Source organism: Homo sapiens, chromosome 3 (assembly GCF_000001405.40).
Source record: "Homo sapiens chromosome 3, GRCh38.p14 Primary Assembly".
In the NCBI taxonomy this organism is placed as follows: Eukaryota; Metazoa; Chordata; class Mammalia; order Primates; family Hominidae; genus Homo; species Homo sapiens.
The window spans coordinates 15207666-15229251 of NC_000003.12; the positions used below are offsets into that span (position 1 = coordinate 15207666).

The window sequence follows — 21586 nt, forward strand, 5'->3', positions numbered from 1 at the left end:
AAAAACTAAGGCACACGTTAGCCTAGGCCTACACCTCGTCAGGATCATCAATATTACTGTCTTCCACCTCCAATCTTGTCCCACTGGGAGGTCTTCAGGAGCAATAACAGGAATGAAACTGTCGTCTCCTATGATAACAATGTCTCTTGAAATATCTCCTGAAGGACATGTCAGAGACTGTTTTATAGTTAACTTTTTTTTATAAAAGGAGTATACTAACAGTACATAGTATAGCATAGTAAATACATAAACCAGTAACATAGTTGTTGATTATCAAGTATTATGTACTCTACATTATTGTGTGTGGTAGACTTTTACACCACTGGCACCCCAGTAGGTTTGTTTACATCAGCATCACCACAAACATGCGAGTAAAGTGTTGTGCTATGACATTATGATGGCTATGACATGACCAGGCAATAGGAATTTTTCAACTCCATTATAATCTTAGGGGACCACTATCATATATTCAGTCTGTTGTTGACTGAAATGTTATGTGGTGTGTGACTATATTTTTGTGTTTTTTTATGCGTATGTGTATATGCTTTTTTTTTTTTTTTACAAACTGGTTTATACTGTTTTTAGTAATAGCTGCACAGTAGTTCATTATGTGGGTGTACCATATTTTTTTTTTTAAGAGACAGCGTCTTGCCCTGTCACTCAGCCTGGAGTGCCGTGGCCCACTAATAATAGCTCATTGCAGCCTCAAACTGCAAAGCTCAAGCAATCCTCCTGCCTCAGTCTCCCAATTGGTGGGACTACAGGTAGACACAACCACACTTGGCTAATTTTTTTTTTTTTTTTTTTTTTGTGTAGAAATGGAGTCTCGCTGTGTTGCCCAGGCTGGTTTCGAACTCCTGGGTCAAGCGATCTTCCTGCCTCAGTCTCCCAAAATGCTGGAATTACAGGCGTGAGCCTCTGTGCCTGTCCAGTGTACTATAATTAATTTACAGACTCTTGGGCATTCAGTTGATTTTGTTTTTTCAACATCATAAGTAACGATGTAGTTCATATCTTTATAACTAATTCTTATGACTAGTGCAAATTTTTGCCTGAATTTTCTTTGGGATAAATTACCGGGGACAGAATTGATAAATCAAAGGGTATGAGCTTCCATGGTCCACTCTCTTCTCTCCAATTCTGAGGATTTGCAAATATACCCCTCTAGCTCTAGCTAGATTTGGAGGGAGCTGTGTCCTCATGATAGTGTCACCTTTTCTTTTAGAAAGATTATCAGACTTTGATAATACTGTACAATAGTAGTACTTTTTTTCACAAATGTATGTGCTGTCAATAAAGTGTGGTTTGTTTCAGATTAATATTTTGTTGCTTTCATTTTATAATCTTTTTTCCTTTTTTTTTGAGACGGAGTTTTGTTCTTGTTGCTCAGGCTGGAGTGCAATAGCACAATCTCGACTCGCTGCAACCTCCACCTCGTGGGTTCAAGTGATTCTCCTGCCTCAGCCTCCTGAGTAGCTGGGATTACAGGCATGCACCACCACCCCCGGCTAATTTTGTATTTTTAGTAGAGACCGGGTTTCTCCATGTTGGTCAGGCTGGTCTCAAACTCCCGACCTCAGGTGATCCACCTGCCTCGGCTTCCCAAAGTGCTGGGATTATAGGCATGAGCCACCGCCCCCAGCCTATTTTTTTCTTTTTTTATTGATAGGTAATGTACATAGTTTCAGGGTACATGTGATAATTTAATACATTAATATAATTTGTAAAGATAAATCAGCATACTTGGGATAGCCATCACCTTAACTACTTCACAGCTGAACTGTGCAGCTTTTATTACTGAATATTATTCCCTTAATATTTATGCTAGGAACATTTGAATTAATCTAGCTATTTTGAAATGTACAATCAAATATTATAAACTCTGGTCACCCTGTGATCTATCTTAACAGTAGGTCTCATTCTATTATAATCTGCTTTATGTTTAGAGAGTTTTGGTGCATTTCAGAATCCTTTTAGACTTTTTTGACAATTTCACAAGGCATTGTTTAAGAGAAAAATTGTGTGTGTTTTGTGAAATAGCTTTGACAACAGGTTAAAATAGTGCTATATAAAAATAGATTTTATTAAAGCAAAAGAAACTGCTATGCACTGCCCCTTGTTTCCTATAGACTTACATACATGTCAGGAAGAATTTTTTATCTTTGAGAAAGCCAAAAAAAGTGGTTGTACTTCTAGAAATTATTTATATAAGCTTCATCAGTTTAGTATTTAGTGTTTTCTGCCCAGTCCTTTCTATAAGCTATTTATTTCTTGTCAGTTTTGAATATAAATGAAATGAGTAAAATAAAATTGACACCAGCAGTTTTTTAAATTGGCTTTATTTTATTTTTCAGAGACAGGGTCTCATTCTGTCACCCAGGCTGGCGGGCAGTGGTGAGATCATAACTCACTGCAGCCTCAAACTCCTGGGCTAAAACAATCTTCCAGCCTCAGCCTCCTGAGTAGCTGGGACTACAGGTGTGCACCACAATACCTGGCTAATTTTTTTTTTTTCCAGAAATGGGGATTTCACTATGTTGCCCAGTTAGTCTTGAACTCCTGGCCTCAAGCAGTCCTCCTGCCTCAGACTCCTAAGTAAAAAAAATAGCTTTTTTTAAAAAGTACAATAATTATTTGGAAATTAATAATCACATACAAGATAACTGAAGGGGCAATATATGTGTATTATATACTTATATAATTTACATGTATCAAAAACATTCCGTTTATTGGATTTAAGTGTAGTTACAATGTATTTAGATAATGATGGTATGTAAGATATATTTAATGTTTACATGTAAAGTTATACTTTCCTCCTCTGAAATAGTTATAGAATCTAAGGAAGTCATATCTTTTCTATCCCACTGCCTTTAGGCTGAATTTTCATTGTAGTCAAAACTGTACTTTTTCATTCCTTCCTTGCTTCCTTCCTTTTTTTTTTTTTTTTTGGACAGTATCTTACTCTGTCACCCAGGCTGGAGTGCAGTGGCCCGATCACAGCTCACTGCAGCCTCCACCTCCCAGGGCTCAGGTGATCCTCCCGCCTCAGCCTCCTGAGTAGCTGGGACTACTTTGTAGAGACAGGGTTTCACCATGTTGCCCAGGCTGAAAACTGCACTTTTCTTAATTTTGTTAGGTTCAGTGAAACAACTCCTGCTCAAACAACTGGATTCAAAAAGTGATGTTCAGTAGATGGCATCTTTGGAAACAGGCATGATGACCCATGAAGTGTACACGCTTGGGTTACTGCAGAGAAGGTGCTGTTACTTGTAGAAATCTGTCTTTGCTTTTCTAGGTGGTAGCATTGGTAACCTTCCTGGAATGGTGATGAGGAGAATGGAAACACCACCTTCTAGCCATAGCATAACTGGTCGTGGAAGTTATGGAATAACTGGAAGAAGAATCCAGATTTTCTTAAAATTAAAATAAGTGTAATTTATACAACTAAAATCTGCTTTAAAATGTGTCATCCTTTGTCAGTATTTTCTGTGGAGAAAACTGTTTTCCTTTTACTGTGAGATATTTAACCTGTGTAATCTCCTGTAATCTTTTCTTGATAATTTTATTTTAGCAATTATTACTCGTTTTAATGCTTTGAAGGCTCAATTCATATTTTTTTGCGTGTGAATTACTTGCAATCAGTTCACATTTTCAAGGTATATAATTTTAAATCTGATCTATTGCATAAGGAAAAAGGAAAACGAAACATGTAAACTGCAGCTATTCTAAAGAAGTGTTTATAATCAGTTCCTTATGCGTGAATTCATAAATTTTCAATGATATGTTAAAATTGAGAGAGAGCCTGGATAGCTCCTTCGGTAGAGCATCATCAGACTTTTAATGTGAGGGTCCAGGGTTCAAGTTCCTGTTTGGGCGTGTCCTGTGGCTTTTAGCACCTAATTCTGACTCTATCTTTGAAAAAGCCAAAAAAAAAAAAGTATGATTTGGGCCAGGTGTGGTGGCTCATGCCTGTAATCCCAGCACTTTGGGAGGCCGAGGTGGGCAGATCACTTGAGGCCAGGAGTTCAAGACCAGCCTGGCCAACATGGCAGAACCCAATCTCTACTAAAAATACAAAAATTAACCAGGTATGGTGGTGTACACCTATAGTCCCAGCTACTCGGGAGGCTGAGGCCCAAGAATCACTTGAACCTGGGGAGGTTGAGCTGAGCTGAGATCACACCACTGCACTCCAGCCTGGGTGACAGAGCAAAACTCTGTCTCAAAAAAGAAAAGTAAAAGAAAATTGAGAACATTGAATACTGAAGAAAACATTGGAAGATTGTATAACTACTTTATGAAAAAAATTACTATTAATAATAATTTAAAGACATTCTTGTTTTGTCATTCATGGAAACCAATATTGAATGAGAATGTGATAAAGAAAATTCAAGTTGTAATACATCTATTGGATTCCTTTGAATTCTTTCATTTTTAGGAAGCTGCACAAGCCTTAATTTATGCTGAGATGGCAGGATCAAGCCTAGAAAATATTCAAGAAAAAATAACTGAGTATCTGGAAAGAGTTCAAGCTCTACATTCAGCAGGTTAGTAAAGGACTACTAAACTTGTCACTCTATTTTTTCTTTTCTCCCATCATGTCTTTCCCCCATGTTTGTTTCTCTTCTTCATTTTTATCTTTGAATCTTGATGCTCACTCTGTTGCTGCTCATTCCACTTTTGGTAATCACCTCTTTAAAAGTCATTTAGAAATAAGTCATAGATCTTTGAAGAGGAACCTTATAGACAATATAGTCCAGTTTCCTAATTTCCCAGAGTGCAGAGATGGTGAATTACCTATGTTCAAACAATTTATCATTGGCAAAGTTAGGATTAGGATTCAGTTAAAGTCTGCTTTTAAAATATCTGTCACGTCTCTTCCTTATAAAATTAAGTGACTGTTCCTCTTCAGTGTTTACAGACTTCAGCAGTAGGTTCACAGTGTCTTCTCTTTCGGTGTCTTCTACTTTCAGACCTTTGCTAAACTCTTTAAAACCATATCTTGGGAAAGTGACATGTAAACAGAGACTTGGAACTACTTGTATTTATTTTTGTAAACAGCACAACAGGTACAATAATAGAAATATATAGTCTTAATGGTCACAGTTTTGTTAGAGGTAACTGATGTTGACATTGTATTTACAAATACATTGATTTCTGTAGGGATTCTTTTTAACCCTCTTTTTCTGTTGCTGCATGATAAAGCGCCAAGCAGAAGAATATTTATTCTCATGGACTTTGTGTAACTTTCTACCACTCATTTTGAGTAGATACGAGCAATTACAAGAACATCGTTGGGATAAAGTAGATTTAATCATTGGATTCCTTGTTATGACAGTTCCCTTAAAAACAAGGCGGTTTACTTTTAATACAGTGCCCAGAAATTGCATGTATTGAAAAGTGTACTGCCTGTGTTATTGGAACCTCACTTGATACAAAGTATTGATTCATGTATTCAAAATATCATATAAAATTCAAAGGAACTTTCTTTTCCCAGCCAAGTAAATGAAGTTCTTAAATTTAACTGCCCAATATTAGGAACTTTGTTTCATAACCAGTGTTTTCAAATAAAATTATCTTTGAAGTAGGGAAGGTAGTCTTTCATGTTTACTTCCATGATCTCCTTGTTTTTTCATAGATAGTTTTCTTCATTTCAATAACTATGTATTGAATACATGTTTGGGCTCTATGGTAAGTACAGGGTAATAGATGAGTGACAGTCCATGTCCTCAGGAGGACTTCATCAGGTGTGGAGAGAGAACAGTGTCAACATTGCACTATCATGGAAACCCCTTTCTGAAGCATGCTAGACTAAATGTTAAAGCAGAATGCTCTAGAAAGGAGAGATTATATGGTGATATTATTCCAGGAGTAGAATCTCTGGCAGCCTAAGGTATATTTCCATCTTTCTTTTCCATATGTACACACAGTCAAGCACATTTATGCCCTAGGGTCTTGATTCCAGTAAGATTGCTCTTTAAACCCTTGAAATCCTTGTGACAATTGGAAAAAATAAATATGAATCATTTTTTTCTAAGGAATTTTAAAAATTATTCTTACTTTATATTAAATACAGCTAAGCCTAAAAACTTACATGTGATTTTTGGGAAATAAATTCTAAACATTGATATATATGTGATATTCAAGCATCAAATGAGACACCCCAATCTCTTGAAGAATAAAGACTTGCCAGTGAAATAGAGTTCAAAAAGGATTTTTTTTTTTTTTTTTTGAGGTGGAGTCTCGTTCTGTCTTCCAGGCTGGAGTGCAGTGGCGCGATCTCAGCTCACTGCCAAGTTCCGCCTCCGGGGTTCACGCCATTCTCCTGCGTCAGCCTCCCCAGTAGCTGAGACTACAGGCGCCTGCCACCACACCCAGCTGATTTTTTATATTTTTAGTAGAGACAGGATTTCACCATGTTAGCCAGGATGGTCTCGATCTCCTGACCTCGTGATCCACCCGCCTCGGCCTCCCAAAGTGCTGGGATTACAGGCGTGAGCCACCATGCCTGGCCTTAAAAAGGATTTTTAAAGCATAACATAGCTTGTTTTACCAACTTCTTTCTGCTTTTGTTGAAGAAATGGAGTATAATCTCTAGACAATTTAAAGGATTTTCTTATTTATTATTTTAAGCAGAAAAGTCCTTTTTCAAATAAAAATCCTGTTAGGAACCCTAAGTTTTAAAACAAGATAGTCTGCTGACAGTTAAGAGAATCCTGAGAGAGAGTTGATTTTGGGGTGGGGAAAGGTAACATAATTTAAAATTAACCAGTATAGGCCGGCACAGTGGCTCATGCCTGTAATCCCAGCACTTTGGGAAGCTGAGGCAGGAGAATCCCTTGAATCTAGGAGTTCAAGATCAGCCTAGGCAACATAGACTTCACCCCTACAAAAATTGAAAAAATTTGCTGGGCATGGTGGTGTGTGCCTGTAGTCCCAGCTCCTCAGAGGTTGAGGCAGGAAGATTGCTTGAGCCCAGGAGGTTGAGGCTGCACTGACCCGTGATTACACCACTGCCCTCAGCCTGGATGACAGAGTAAGACCCTGTCTCGAAAAATAAAAAGTAAAATTAACCGTCGTAGTACAGAGTTCAAGACTTGGAATTAAAAGATCCCTGTTGAGTCTCTACCCTTTCACTTGTAGCTGTGAAATCTTAGACTAGATCAATGGGTCTCAGTAGAAAGCAATTTGCCCCCCAGGGGACATTTGGCAATTTCTGGAGAAGTTTTTGGTTTTCACGCTGCTGGGTGGCAAGGAATATGCTTCTGGGATTTAGCTGGGTAGAGGCCAAGGCTGTTGCTAAAAAGTCTCCCACAACAAAGAATTATCCAGCCCAAAATGTCAATAATGCCAGGCTGAGAAACACTGGGCTAGATATTTCAACATTTTTGAGCTTTGGTATCTTTTTCATCAATGGAATTAGTATATACTTCAGAGAGGCATTTAAGAAGGCTAAAGTTTTGAAAACATCAGCACAAACTGGGCACAGTGGTGAGTGCCTGTAGTTCCAGCCACTTGGGAGGCTAAGGCAGAAGGGTCACTTGAGCCCAGTAGTTTAAGAGTTTAAGGCCAGCCTGGGCAACCTAGTGAGACCGTGTATTTAAAAAAAAACCAAAAACACGTAACTTTAAAGAACTAACAAAATCTCAGACTTTTCTTAAATAGCAAGTTTAGCGAGATACAATTTCCATATCATAAAATTCACCCTCTTAAAGTATATAATTCAGGTGTTTTTAGCCTATTCCCAGAGTTGTGCAGTCATCCCCACTATCTAATTTTAGAAAGTTTTCATCACCCCAAGAGAAACCTCTTACCCATTAGCAGTCAATCCCCATTCCTCCCTCCCCCTAGCCACCACTAATCTTGTTGTTTCTATGGATTTGCCTATTGTGGATATTTCATACAAATGGAATCATCCAAAACATGGCCCTTTTGCCATGTGGCTTCTTTCACTGAGTTTAATGTTTGCAAGATTTTTCCATGTTGTAGATTGTATCAATACTTCATTGCTTTTTATGGCTGAGTAATATTTCATTGTATTGATGTGCTGCATTTTGTTTATCCGTTCATTAGTTTTTGGAGACATTTGGGTTGTTTACACCTTTTGGCTGTTATAAATAATGCAGTTAAGAACATTCATGTACACGCAGTGGCTCATGCCTGTAATCCCAGCACTTTGGGAGGCCAAGGCAGACAGATCACTTGAGGCCAGCAGTTTGAGACTAGCCTGGCCAACAGGGTGAAACCCCGTCTCTACTAAAAATACAAAAATTAGCCAAGCGTGATGGTGCACACATGTAGTCCCAGCTACTTGGGAGGCTGAGGCACAAGAATTGCTTGAAAACCCAGGAAGTGGAGGTTGCAGTGAGCTGAGATCGCACCACTGCACTCCAACTTGGGTGACAGGGTGAGATTCTGTCTCAAAAAAAAAAAATTCATGTACAGATTTTTGCATAGACATGTTTTCTCAATTCTCTTGGAATTCCACCCAGAAGTGGAACTGCTGTGTCATAGGATGTAGCTCCATGTTTAACTTTTTGAGGAACTGCCAAATTGTTTTCCAGAGTGGCTACATCATTTCACAGTTCCATCAGCAGTGTATCTGGGTTCCAAGTCCTTCACATCCTAACACTTGTTATTGTCTTTCTGATTTTAGCCATCCTAGTGGGCATAAGGTGTCATCTCATTGTGGTTGTGTTTTGCATTTTTTGATGGCTAACGTTCAGCAATTTCTTATGTGCCATTTGACCTTTTGAATGCCATCTTTGGAGAAATGTCTGTTCAGATCCTTTGCCCATTTTTTAACTGGGTTGTCTTTATTGTTGAATTTTAAGAGATCTTTATATATTCTGGATACATGTTTCTTATAGATACGTATTTTTTTATTAAAATCAAATGAAAATATTATTTCAAAGAGCAATGAAAATACATAACATATTCTAGGCTCAGGGTAAATAGAAAAAGCAGGAACTTTATCATCAGAGCCTAGTATATTACACAATTTTGTCTGTGCAGAAAAAAAAGTTTTAATTGCCTTAAAATAGATTTCTTAATATTTAGCAATTTCCAAGTTTTTGTTTTGTCTTTTGAGGTAGAGGAGCATATGAGGAGAATGCCTGTGTTTCAATTTTTAAGTGAAGAAAGTGCCAGTGGGAGAGAGAAATTCAGGGAAAGAATTTTTTAAATAAGTAGTGTATTTTTTACTATTCTTTATCTCTGATGTCTATTGTGTGGTAAATAATTGCAGATTTTTTTTCTTAGACCTTAAGATTAAAAAGAGAAGGGAGGAAGGCTGGGCATGGTGGCTCACACCTGTAATCCCATCACTTTGGGAGGCTGAAACTGGCAGATTGCTTGAGCCTGGGAGTTCAAGACCAGCCTGGGCAACATGGCAAAACCCCATCTCTACAAAAAAAAAAAAAGAGAGAAAAATTAGCCAGGCATGGTGGTACACTCCTGTAGTCCCAGCTACTCAGGAGGCTGAGGTGGGAGAATCTCTTGAGCCCGAGGAGGTAGAGGCTGCAGTCAGCTGTGATTGTGCCACTGCACTCTAGCCTGGGTAACAGAGCAAGAGCCTGTCTAAAAAAAAAAAAAGAAGGGAGGAAATTTGTCCTTTTTTAAGGATTTTTTTAACCTTGCTAAGTTTTTTAAATGAAGAATACAGGGTTTTGGTAAAAAATGTCTTAAATAGTGAAAATAGTGTGTTTTCTGGCTGTATTTAGATAATACTCCTTCTGCGTATTTTTTTTTCTATCCTAGTTCAGTCAAAGAGTGCTGATCCTTTGAAGTCAAAACATCAGTTGGACTTAGAGCGTGCTCATTTCCTTGTTACACAAGCTTTTGATGAAGATGAAAAAGAGAATGTTGAAGATGCTATAGAATTGTACACAGAAGCTGTGGATCTCTGTCTGAAAACAGTGTGTATAGCTACAAATTACGTTTGATGAGTTATGCCAAACCATTTCTTCTCTTGCTAGTGAATTTTACATAACACCTTGAATAAAAGAATTTTAACAGAATAAAAAAAATTATTTTAAATGTAACAACTACTCCTCAATATAAGATGATGAGTAGAAAGCTAATAATGGGTTTTTGCATCTTATTAAAATTTTGAAAGTATTGAGTCTTAAATTACAAGAACTATTTTTAACATTTCTGTTCTTACAACTAAAATAAACTTACAGAATTCATTATCACAAATCTATTAATTTAGAATAAACTTCCCCTTTTTTCAGTTTCGTGCACTAAAAAATAAGCTAGTGGTTTGGATGAGCCTTACTTATTTGCAGTGTAAAATCTGTATGCTGAGTGGCTTTTACTGCTCCCTGCTGAGCCTTGGTTGGGACTCTTAGCTTCAAGGGACATCTAGTGCATAAGAGAGCAGTGTATTTGACAGGAGGATGAGGTAAAGTAGTTGAGACTGGTATCCCCATGTCTTTCTGACTGGCTTTTTGGCAGAGACTTTTGCTCAGAGAGACCATCTGGCCTGATTTCTGTAGGTGCCTTGAGACTAAATGAGTGCTAGTGTTCTGAGGTTCCTGCCACTCAGCGTTCCACAGCACTATGGTCAAACAGTTCTGGTCCAGTTATCAGTTGTCCACATAAGTGGTTTTAAAGTGCACCTCAGTGACAAATTTTCAACACTATTTTAAATGATACCTTTAAGGATGAGAATTAATGTCATCTTTGTTTGTTCTCAATTTCAGCAAGTGTAATATGCATTGTAAATTTTTTGCTTAGAAATATGGATCAAGCAAATTGAAAAATAATTATGCTTTAAAATGTCTGTCTCTTTCTTTCTCTTAAGTCTTATGAAACTGCTGATAAAGTCCTGCAAAATAAACTGAAACAGTTGGCTCGACAGGCACTAGACAGGTGAGTTTGATCTCTCAAGTTCTAATCCATGGATGGCACTTAGTGTTATTTAAACAAATTTATCTAAATGTGTTGTAAAGGCTGCAGTAACAAACCTCCATCTTTTAACTGTCATCTGAAACAAATCTACTTTCTACTTCTTAGTGAATTTACCTCCTCTCTCTAGTTCCCTGCTTTAAACTCAAGAAATAGCAAATCAATAAATGTTTTTAATTTTAGTTTAGAACAGAAAGGACTGTGATATTTGCAATGGAGGACCTCCTTTCTGTTATGTAATATCAGACTTTCAAAGAGAACTTCCAGAGAGCCTTCCAGATCTGCTAAAAATAGAAAACATGAGCATGAACTTGCTTTCAGCCATGTACATACCTCAGATTATACAGTGTGTAGCTCTTTCACCTCTTAGCTGAAATGTCAACTTTTCAATGAAGCCTGCCCTAACCATTGTTTAAAATTGAATCTCCCCCAGCAGTTGCAACCTGATTATTCTGGTATTTTTCCCACAGCTCTTATTTTCTGAGGTCTGTGAGATTTACTAGCTTATTATATTTGTTGTTAATGTCTGTGTCCCCTCCAACCTTCATCCCCCAGATGTAAGCTCTGAGGGCAGAGATTTTTGTCTATTTTATTTAGTGCTGTAACCAAGTACCCAGCAGAGTGCCTGACATGTAATATGTGCTCAGTAGATATTTGCTAAAAGAATGAATGAGTTTGCATAAGCGAATTATATATCTTGAAAGAGTGTTGTAGACACACAAAAAATGAAAGGGTGGAAATTGCTTTTATACCTACATCATGAATTATCTCCTTTTGAGGCTCTGACCTGATAGATAACTGTACCACCCCAAGCCCTTCTTTTTTTAACTGAAGTAAAATAGTCATCCCTCCTTTTCATTGTCATCTACTAACTTTAGTTTGTTTCCTCAGATTCACAAAGATACGAGTCCTTGACATACAGTTGTCTTCTCTATCTTGACTTCTTTCACCTGTCAGAATTATAAGTGACTTTATTACGTCTGTGGCTAACCCATCCAATATTCTCAAGTGCACCCTAAGCAAAGGGTGGGTGAGATAGCCATGGGCTCCTATGAGGATCTTTTGAAACTTATGGATCCATTCTCTAGGAAAATGTACATGAAATTTTTTTGCATATAATTTCAGAGTTTTCACAAGAATCCTGAAGCTCATATATGCACCTCAGGTTAAGAACTTCTATTTTTTAGCTCGTTAGTTCTTTGACAGAACAAAGTTAAAATTCTGTTGCATATCATGTGAGGCTGTCTGTGATCCAGCCCCTGCTTTCCTCTCTAGTCTCATCTCCTGCTGCCTCTCGTTTGCACTTCTCACAGGGGCAACATTCATTCTTTTGCAATTACCTGGCCGGGCACGGTGGCTCACGCCTGTAATCCCAACACTTTGGGAGACTGAGGTGGACGAATCACCTGAGGTCAGGAGTTCGAGACCAGCCTGGCCAACGTGGCGAAACCCTGTCTCTACTAAAAATACAAAAATTAGCCAGGCGTGGTGGTAGGCACCTATAATCCCAGCTACTCAGAAGGCTGAGGCAGGAGAATCGCTTGACTCGGAAGGCAGAGGTTGCAGTGAGCCAAGATTGCGCCACTACGCTCTAGCTTGGGCAACAGAGTGAAACGCCGTCTCAAAAAAAAAAATAAAAAATTTAAAAAAGAAATTACCTTAATTCATTGTGCTGTTTCATACTTCTGCACGTTTGTACATGTTCTTCTGTCTACTTAGAATGCTTCCTCACTGCCCAGGTGAACAACTCTGCAGCTCAAGCATCAGTTCAGAGCACCCTTCTCCAACTCATCCCCACTTGGCAATTCATTAAGTGAATAACTTCTGTTGTACATTCATTTGCATGTAATACTTTCATCCTAGTATCTGTTATTTTTGATGCAGTTGTCTGTCTTTCCCTACAAAACTATGAGTACCTTAAGGGTAGGGATTGTTTTATACGTTCTTTTATACCACTTACCTTACCTTGTATGGTGTCTGATTATGTAAGTGCTTAATTAATGTTGTCAATAGAATATTGTTTGTAAAAGATGCTTATCTTTGGAAGTAGCTGAAGTAGTGAAATGTTGATTAGTATGTAAGAATTTTATATACTAATTTTACATTAGGGATGCTTGACTGGTTCTTCAAGTAAATTTTGTTTCCTGAAAAGCTTAAATGTGAGTAGAAAAACTAGAACAGTTGTTTGTTCCTCTCTGTTATAGAGCAGAAGCGCTGAGTGAGCCTTTGACCAAGCCAGTTGGCAAAATCAGTTCAACAAGTGTTAAGCCAAAGCCACCTCCAGTGAGAGCACATTTTCCACTGGGCGCTAATCCCTTCCTTGAAAGACCTCAGTCATTTATAAGTCCTCAGTCATGTGATGCACAAGGACAGAGATACACAGCAGAAGAAATAGAAGTACTCAGGTAAATAAGTTTACAATTAATTGTAATGAAGAATTTTGTTAACATGAATGCAGAATTTTATTTTCATTAGGTTTGCTGAATTGTATTCAGATTTCTCCTATAGTGTATTGTGCTGTTATTATGTAATTATATCATCATGTAGTCACAACTTGAAATAGTTAAAATTTTAGTTCTGATATATTTTATTTTATTTTATTATTTTCATTTGTATTTTTTGAGACAGAGTGTCACTCTGTTGTTCAGGCTGGAGTGCAGTGGTGTGATCTTGGCTCACTGCAACCTCTGCCTCCTGGGCTCAAGCGATTTTCCTGCCTCAGCCTCCCAAGTAGCTGGGACTACAGGTGTGTGCCACCACATCTGACTAATTTTTTTTTTTTTTTTTTTTTTTTTTAGTAGAGACAGGGTTTCATAATGTTGGCCAGGCTGGTCTCGAGCTCCTGACCTCAGGTGATTCGCCCACCTCGGCCTCCCAAAGTATTGGGATTACAGGCATGAGCCACTGTGCCCGGCTTTAGTTCCAGTATATTTTAATATTAGCGTTTTTGCTAGACATAATACACTTTGCTGAAAATCCTAGCATTCTGTGAAACTGAGCCACTAAAGGTTAAGGAGCAAAATGAGCTGTAGCAGACCACTCTTAATCTATGCAACTTTGTAACCAGAGCCCTAATGGGAGAAAAAATGTTACTTTGAAATAGGAGTGTAGGTGGTGTGCTGGCAGCTCACCCCTGCAATCCCAGCATTTTGGGAGGCAGAGGGGGGCAGATCACTTGAGCTCAGGAGTTTGAGACCAGCCTGGGCAACATGCCAAAACCCCATCTCTACTACAAATACAAAAAATAGCTGGGTATGATGATGTGCACTGTAATCCCAGCTACTTGGGAGGATCACTTGAGCCCAGGAGGTGGAGGTTGCAAAGCCGAGATCACGCCACTGCTCTCCAGCTTGGGCAACAGAGGGAGATCCCGTCTCAAAAAAAAAAATATGTGTGTATACACGTGTATATACATACGTATACATATACGTATATAGTATACGTATACGTATATATATATGTAAAGTTTTTCTTTGAAAGGTTTTACATGCATCAAAAAAAAAAAAAAAGAATATATGACAGAAACCTCATTGCAAAGCCTAAGCTATATACCATATGGCTCTTTACAGAAAACATTTGCCGACCCCCTGTCTAGCGGGGGTTATAGCGTGTCTGAAAGCAGTCTCAGAGGATATTAAAAATGTAAAACACGGCTACTCTGGGCACACTGCCTATGGAGTAGCCCTGTTCCACAAGGAGCTGTACCAAAAAAAAATGAAATGTGAAACACAATAATGTGGAAATTCTTGATTGCCCTCTGAACCAGTGTAGCTAGGATAAGTCCCTGAGCCAGACAGGGTGGCTTTTTTAAAGTTGAGCACTGCAGAAAGTTCAGTCTGCTTAGAGCTGTGTAAGTCATGTAGGTGTTCATCTTTTTATTTTCTAAAATTGAGCTGAAAGGGCTTCTGCCTAGGTAGCAGCCATCTGAGAGCATTTTTCTTTCCTTTCCTGCTGAAGATTGTAATTGTACTCCTGCTAATCTGGCTCCCTTTGTCTAGGAAAAATTGCATGTGCACCAACACAGCACAATACAGGACAAAGAAGGGTAGTTTTGAAGCTAAAAGACTAATAACAGTCCAACACTTTTCCATATGCTACCTTCACATGTTTGAAATTCTGTACTACACCAGAACAACTCTATATTCCACCTAACAAAATGCAGCTATCCTTCATGCGAGTGAAAAGTTTTCATTATCTTTCCAAAATAAGGCTGTACATAGTCCCAACAATCATTTCATCTATTCCTGACTATATTAAGTAGTCCTCAGATTTCCAGGCTATTGTTACCTAAAGACTAAATTCTGAAGTTACTCTGCAACATCTCATAAATAGAATAAGGGAGAGAAACAGATACAAGAAGGAAATAGTTAATATAGATAAATAAGCATATACACAAAACAAGGAGAATGCAAAGCTACTACAAACCTTATTTCTTTAATTTGTCAGTAGACCATAGCTGATATCTATGACACTTCCTTCTTCCACTACCCATTTCATGTCCTCATAACCAGAAAACGTGAAGAGCATGTATTTCAGAATTGTTAATGTGTTTTTTTAATTCCAAAATAACTTAAGCAATTGATTTCTCCCTTTAGGCTTAGCATAGAATTGGTTTTGTGTCTTGGTGTCAAGGACACTTTCATTACCTCTTGAATAGTCTTGTCTTCTTGTGGGTGTTAGCCTTTAAAGAATATTCTTATTGGTTTGAATTGATTCAGTTATTTTCTGATTTTCAATTATTTTATGAAAATATTGTCCAAAGATATATCAACAACATGAGGTTGTCAGTTTAATTTTAATACAGTATCATACCTTGTCATTTAAATTTTAAAGAGTTGAAATAAGATTGGCAATTAAGGTAAACTTGAACATTTAGGTTTTTTTCTCGTGTTTGATAGGACAACATCAAAAATAAATGGTATAGAATATGTTCCTTTCATGAATGTTGACCTGAGAGAACGTTTTGCCTATCCAATGCCTTTCTGGTAAGTAAGCACTGTTGCAATTTTTAACTCCAATATTTTAACTTTTCAGTACTCTGAAGTTCAATTTAATAGCCTTGAAATTAAAATTTGTAATAAAAAAATTTGTTGGAATAGAGGGGTGGCTGTGGGAAAGGGATAGGGCAACATAGCAAGAGCACTTTTGTTATTTGCCCAGTCATGAGGACATGAGGATCTCCTTTTGCCTAATATTATTTCTGTAGTGTCTAGCACAGTACCTGGTGTAAAGTAAGTACTCCGTAAATATTTGTCCAAGCAGTGATTGAATCACAACAGAAATTCTAACACACAGTAAAGAAACTGAATGGAAAAGGGGAATGGAATGATGTCATTGTTTACTAAGAAGACCAATTCAAGCAAGGACTATTTATGAGAGAATTAGTTAGCACAGCCTTCCAGGACAATGGCAGCTTATGTCAAGAGCTTTAAAAATATTGTTTGGTTCAGGAGTCCGAGCTTGTAGTCATCGTAAGGAAATCAACAGTCAAAGATGTACATAATAAGGACACTCATCAAAGCATCTGTTGCAGCAAAAAATTATTGAAACAAACTGGCAATATGGGAATGATTAAATAATAGTACATCTATACAGTCAAATATTATGCTACTCAAAATAAGTATTTAAAACTGTAGGAAAAAAAATGTTCCCATTACAGAAATCAAAAAGAAAATTATGATGTCCCAAATTTTTTTTTTTTTTCTTTTTTTTTGAGATAGGGTCTCACTCCCATTGCCTAGGCTGGAGTGCAATGATGTGATCATGACTCACTGCAGCCTTGACTTCTCAGGCTCAGGTGATTCTCCCACCTCAGCCTCTTGTATAGCTGGGACCGCAGGCATGCACCATCACGCCCAGCTAATTTTTGTATTTTTGGTAGAGACGAGATTTTACCATTTTGGCCAGGCTGGTCTTGCACTCCTGACTTCAAGTGATCCATCTGCCTCAGCCTCCCGAAGTGCTGGGATTACAGATGTGAGCCACTGTGCCTGACCCTTCTTTTTCTTTTCATGTATTTATAGATGCATAGAAAAAAAAAATGATGTGGAGAAATATACCCGAATATTTACAGTGGTTATGTCTAGGTAACAAAATTTTGTGATTTAACCTCTTTCAGTACTTTTTTATTTTTCAAAATTTCTCCAATGAGCATGTTATATTTATTATTAGAAAAAAAAAGCTGGATGCTTACTATATAGAATATGAAGGCTCTGTAAAGAACAAAAGGGCTGCTTTTTATTTTCTAGTGTTTTGCTGTTCTTTTGCCAAGGGTTAGGTATCACAAAGCCAGTTAACATATTTTTTTCACTCAGGTAGCTGTGTGATGCTAGTAACTGATTGGGACCAAAGGAATTTTTATATCTGAGAAACTTTATAGCATTAATGTTCAGGGAAAGATTCTAGAGCCAGACTTTCTGGTCTCAAACCTTGTGTAACACCGGGCAAGTTGTTAAATCTGTCTCAGTTTCTTGTCTGTAAAATGGGGATAATAATAGAAACTACCTCATAATGTTACTGTGAGTTAATAAAATGTAAAACCCTGAGAATGGTGCTGTTATATAGCAAGCACTATATAATAAAGGTTACCTGCTAGAAAAATCATCATTTTGTTAGTTACTAAGTTATATAACAATTTGGCTGTATATTCCAAATACTTTAACATTTTTTATACCTCTTTGACTAATGATTTTACTTCAGGAATCCAGTTGTAAGGAACTATTTAGAGATATACTCAAAAATTCGTACGAAAGCGATTTATCATTGTTGTTATAATTGTGAAAATGAATCAGTTATTCTGGTATTTTCTTGACAATATTCAAATAGAGATGTAAACTTATCATTTCTATCTTTTTGCAACAAATTAATGTAAATCATATTTGTTATGCTTATACGACACAGTGTCCATAAGAAAAATGTTATATAGCCATAAACAATCAAGTTTTCAAGGAATGTAATAACATGGGAAAATGCTCATAATATAATTGGAAAAGTAAAATACGTAGCCATGCAGACTCCCTTAATTTAGGCATAGCACTTGTCACAGTTGGAATTTTTCTTTTTTTTCTCTTTAAGGTGATTACTTGCTTAATGCTTGTCTGCTACTCTAGCATATAAACTTCATAAGGACAGAGACCATGTCTGTTTTAATTAAGTTGCACCCCAGTGCCTACCACAGTATCTGGTGTATAGTAGGTATTCAATAAATATTTCTTGAAGTAGTTAAATTGGGAGAAAAACAAGAATAAATACTAAAGTTACTATTCTAAGTGGCACGGTATTTTCTTATTTTTTAAATTATTTTACTTTAGGAACAATCAGAAGAAAAAGCAACAGTAAATGTTTTTAAGTTGGGTTAACAGATCATCAGGAAAAGGCTCCAGAATTTATCTTTCGCTAGAGAGATTGAATTATTTTTTAAAATTGTTTCTATTCGGTCGTGTATTACTTTTAAAATAATAAAATAAGCATTATTGAATAAATATTATAATTGTAAGTTTTTTTATTTTTTATTTTTTGAGATGGAGTCTCACTCTGTCACTCAGGCTAGAGTGCAGTGGTGCGATCTCAGCTCACTGCAACCTCCGTCTCCCAGATTCAAGAGATTCTTCTGCCTCAGCCTCCCAAGGAACTGGGATTACAGGCGCCCACCACACGCCCGACTAATTTTGTATTTTGGGTAGAGACTGGGTTTCACCATGTTGTCTAGGCTGGTCTCAAACTCCTGACCTCAAGTGATCCGCCCGCCTCAGCCTCCCAAAGTGCTGGGATTACAGGCATGAGCCACCGCGCCTGGCTGTAAAATATTTTTAATATATTTAAGTTCTGAGGGAAAAAACCTTGAATTTAATAATCCTCTAGTGACTTGAGAGAACAAATATTATGGAATCTTGGATTTATGCTGAAATATGGTTCATATGACAGGTTAATAATAGATTACGAATTTGAATTTGCATTAATTTTTTCTCCTCAAAATTTTTGAGAGCTGTCTTTAAACTCTTCTGAATTCAATTAGCTCACTTTCTGTTTACAGTTAGCTCCTGGTATTATACAGGTACCAAAATGCTACCTGGAATACTAGTGGTTCTGTGAGATGATAATAAAAAATGTTTGAGATATGTTATATGCCATATTCTATTTTAAGAGATTGCAATAAACATTGGCTTATTTAAAGTCTAGAGGTGTCCTTCAATGAAAAAACTAATACTTTAACCAGGAGTTTGTAGATCATACTTGACCACAAAATCCTCTCTTCTCCCAGTATCTGTCAGCATTCTTTGAAAAAAAAAAAAGTTATGTTTGTGCCAGTTTGCATATTATATACTTTCTATTACTAGGAAATCTTTTGAAAACCAAGGATTTGTTGCTTCTGCTCTAGAAAGGGTTTGGGGATGGTTGGGCCTGGTGGCTTGTGTCTGTAATACCAGCACTCTGGTATTTACTTCAGGAAGGCTGGTATCAGCCTTGGCTGGAGGATCGTTTAAGCACAGAGGTTCTAGAGCAGCCTGGGCAACATATGGAGACCTCAACTGTTAAAAAAAAAAAAAAAAAAGTTTAGGGAAAGGGGGAAAGGTAGATGTTTCCCCTTGGTGTACACATCAATTTTAGAGAAACATTGTTACACACAGTGAGTAGAGGGTAATGGATAAGAATGGTGGATTTGGCACCAGAGACCTGGATTCAGATGCCAGTTCTGCTGTTTCTTAGGTGTCTGACCTTGGTAAGTCATTAATCACTTTAAGCTATTTCCAAAAATAATTCCTTTAATAGAGTTGTTTTAAGAATTAAGTGGATTATGTATGTAAAGCACTTTAGCATGATGCCTGGCACATGGTTAGTATTCACTAAATTAGCTACACTCATTATTAGCCTTGCCAAGTGGAGTTTGTAAAAAACCAGCTTTGAATCTTTAGCTTCCTAGGTCCTTTTGAATGAATCAGCTTGTACTATTGTTAATGGTTTCATTTTATTGCTGAATTTCTTGAATACAGTTATGCTAAATTTAAAAAATTATATTCTTAAATATAAATGAATTTAAGTTGTTCTTCTGTTTTCAATTATTTAGGTATATTTTTTAATTGGAGGGGATGATCAGGTTGACTGGACTCTATAAAGAGCCAGATTTGACCAGAAGGTTATTTTAAGATAATACAGTACTGCTATAATCACTAGACCAAAAAAAAAATCTCTAGGAAATTTAATTTTGGCTTTGAGTCATCTTTTAAGATTAATTTTTTTATTTTAATTTTTATTATTACCTCAGTGATAGATGGGGCAAGCTACCATTATCACCTAAACAAAAAACTACATTTTCCAAGTGGGTACGACCAGAAGACCTCACCAACAATCCTACAATGATATATACTGTGTCCAGTTTTAGCATAAAGCAGGTGAGCATTTATTTTGTATGATTTTATAGAAAAGTCAGCATTTTAAAGTAATTTGTGTATAGATTTGAGTTTTTTCTTAGATTTTTTATTATATATTCAGGTACAGAAGTGTAATTGGAAAAATTGTTCATTCTACACATTTTGACTGAAACATACTGAGATAATATAAGTATAAATCACTGTTTTGAGTGATTACAGATTTTTATGTGGGCCCTGTTTATCATTATGTACCTGTAAATGTAAAACTTGAGAATCTGAATTTCACCTTTGATAAAGGAATAGATATCAGCAATAGAAGGATATTTAATTATTTGAGTAATTATTCAAAATCAATTTTTTTGAAATACATTATTTAATTTTCTAGGATTTATTAGAATAAAATGTGTGAGTCAGCAGTATGGTGTTTCTATTTGTTACTTTCCTATTCAAATAATAACCAGGAAAATATTTAGTATACATTGTAGCACTATTCAAAATAACAAAGACATGGAATCAACCTAAATGCCCATCAGTGACAGATTGGATGAAGAAAATGTGGTACATAAACACCTTGGAATACTATGCAGCCATAAGAGAACGAGATGTCTTTTGTAGGAACATGGATGGAGCTGGAGGCCATTATCCTTAGCAAACTGACGCAGAACAGAAAACCAAATACTGCATGTTCTCACTGATAAGTGGGAGCTAAATGATGAGAACAGCTTAAAAGAAAGGAACAGCAGACACTGGGTTCTACTTGAGCGTGGAGGATAGGAGGAGGGAGAGGAGCGGAAAAAATAACTATTGGGTACTGGGCTAATAGCTGGGTGTTGAAATAATATGTACAACAAACACCTGTGACACGAGTTCACCTATGTTACCTTCCACATGTACCCCCGAACCTAAAATAGAAGTTTTAAGAAAAGATATTTAGTATAAAAAGTAGGTACTTGGGGCAATGTACGTATATTGCGGTAATGTTGAAATTACGTGAATGAATATGAATATGTTAATTATTCTTATTAACAGACAATAGTATCGGATTGCTCCTTTGTGGCATCACTGGCCATCAGTGCAGCTTATGAAAGACGTTTTAATAAGAAGTTAATTACCGGGTAAAAATGTGTCTCTCTTTACCTCTTTTTGTGTAATTGTCCCTTAACTAGAAATTTAAAACTTAAGCCTTATCTGTATAGAAAGTGGAGAGGGCATATCATTCAGAATATGGCCCTTCTGTAGAAATTAAGCAGATGATTTATGAATGTGGAAAGATACGCTAAAACAGTCTTAAGAACCTATACACGTAG

At 36.9% G+C, this 21586-nt stretch overlaps 1 protein-coding gene across 17 annotated transcripts in view; it reads left to right on the top strand.

The window, feature by feature from the left end:
• The window catches only part of CAPN7 (calpain 7), a 46671-nt gene that overhangs the window by 1420 nt on the left and 23665 nt on the right, over positions 1-21586 (top strand). For 10 of the 17 annotated variants that reach the window (NR_164761.1, NR_164765.1, NR_164762.1 and 7 more), the window contains exons 2-8: positions 4439-4547; positions 9760-9917; positions 10808-10875; positions 13116-13316; positions 15810-15896; positions 20174-20300; positions 21309-21394. Coding sequence is in view for 10 of the 17 variants with exons in the window: in NM_014296.3 (NP_055111.1) it covers positions 4439-4547; positions 9760-9917; positions 10808-10875; positions 13116-13316; positions 15810-15896; positions 20174-20300; positions 21309-21394 (836 nt within the window). In the remaining 7 variants the exon portion in view is untranslated. Of the gene's footprint in view, positions 1-3136; positions 3258-3295; positions 3432-4438; positions 4548-9759; positions 9918-10807; positions 10876-13115; positions 13317-15809; positions 15897-20173; positions 20301-21308; positions 21395-21586 lie in introns of all 17 variants that reach the window. The other 7 variants (NM_001376086.1, NM_001376091.1, NR_164764.1 and 4 more) reach the window with 5 other exon arrangements.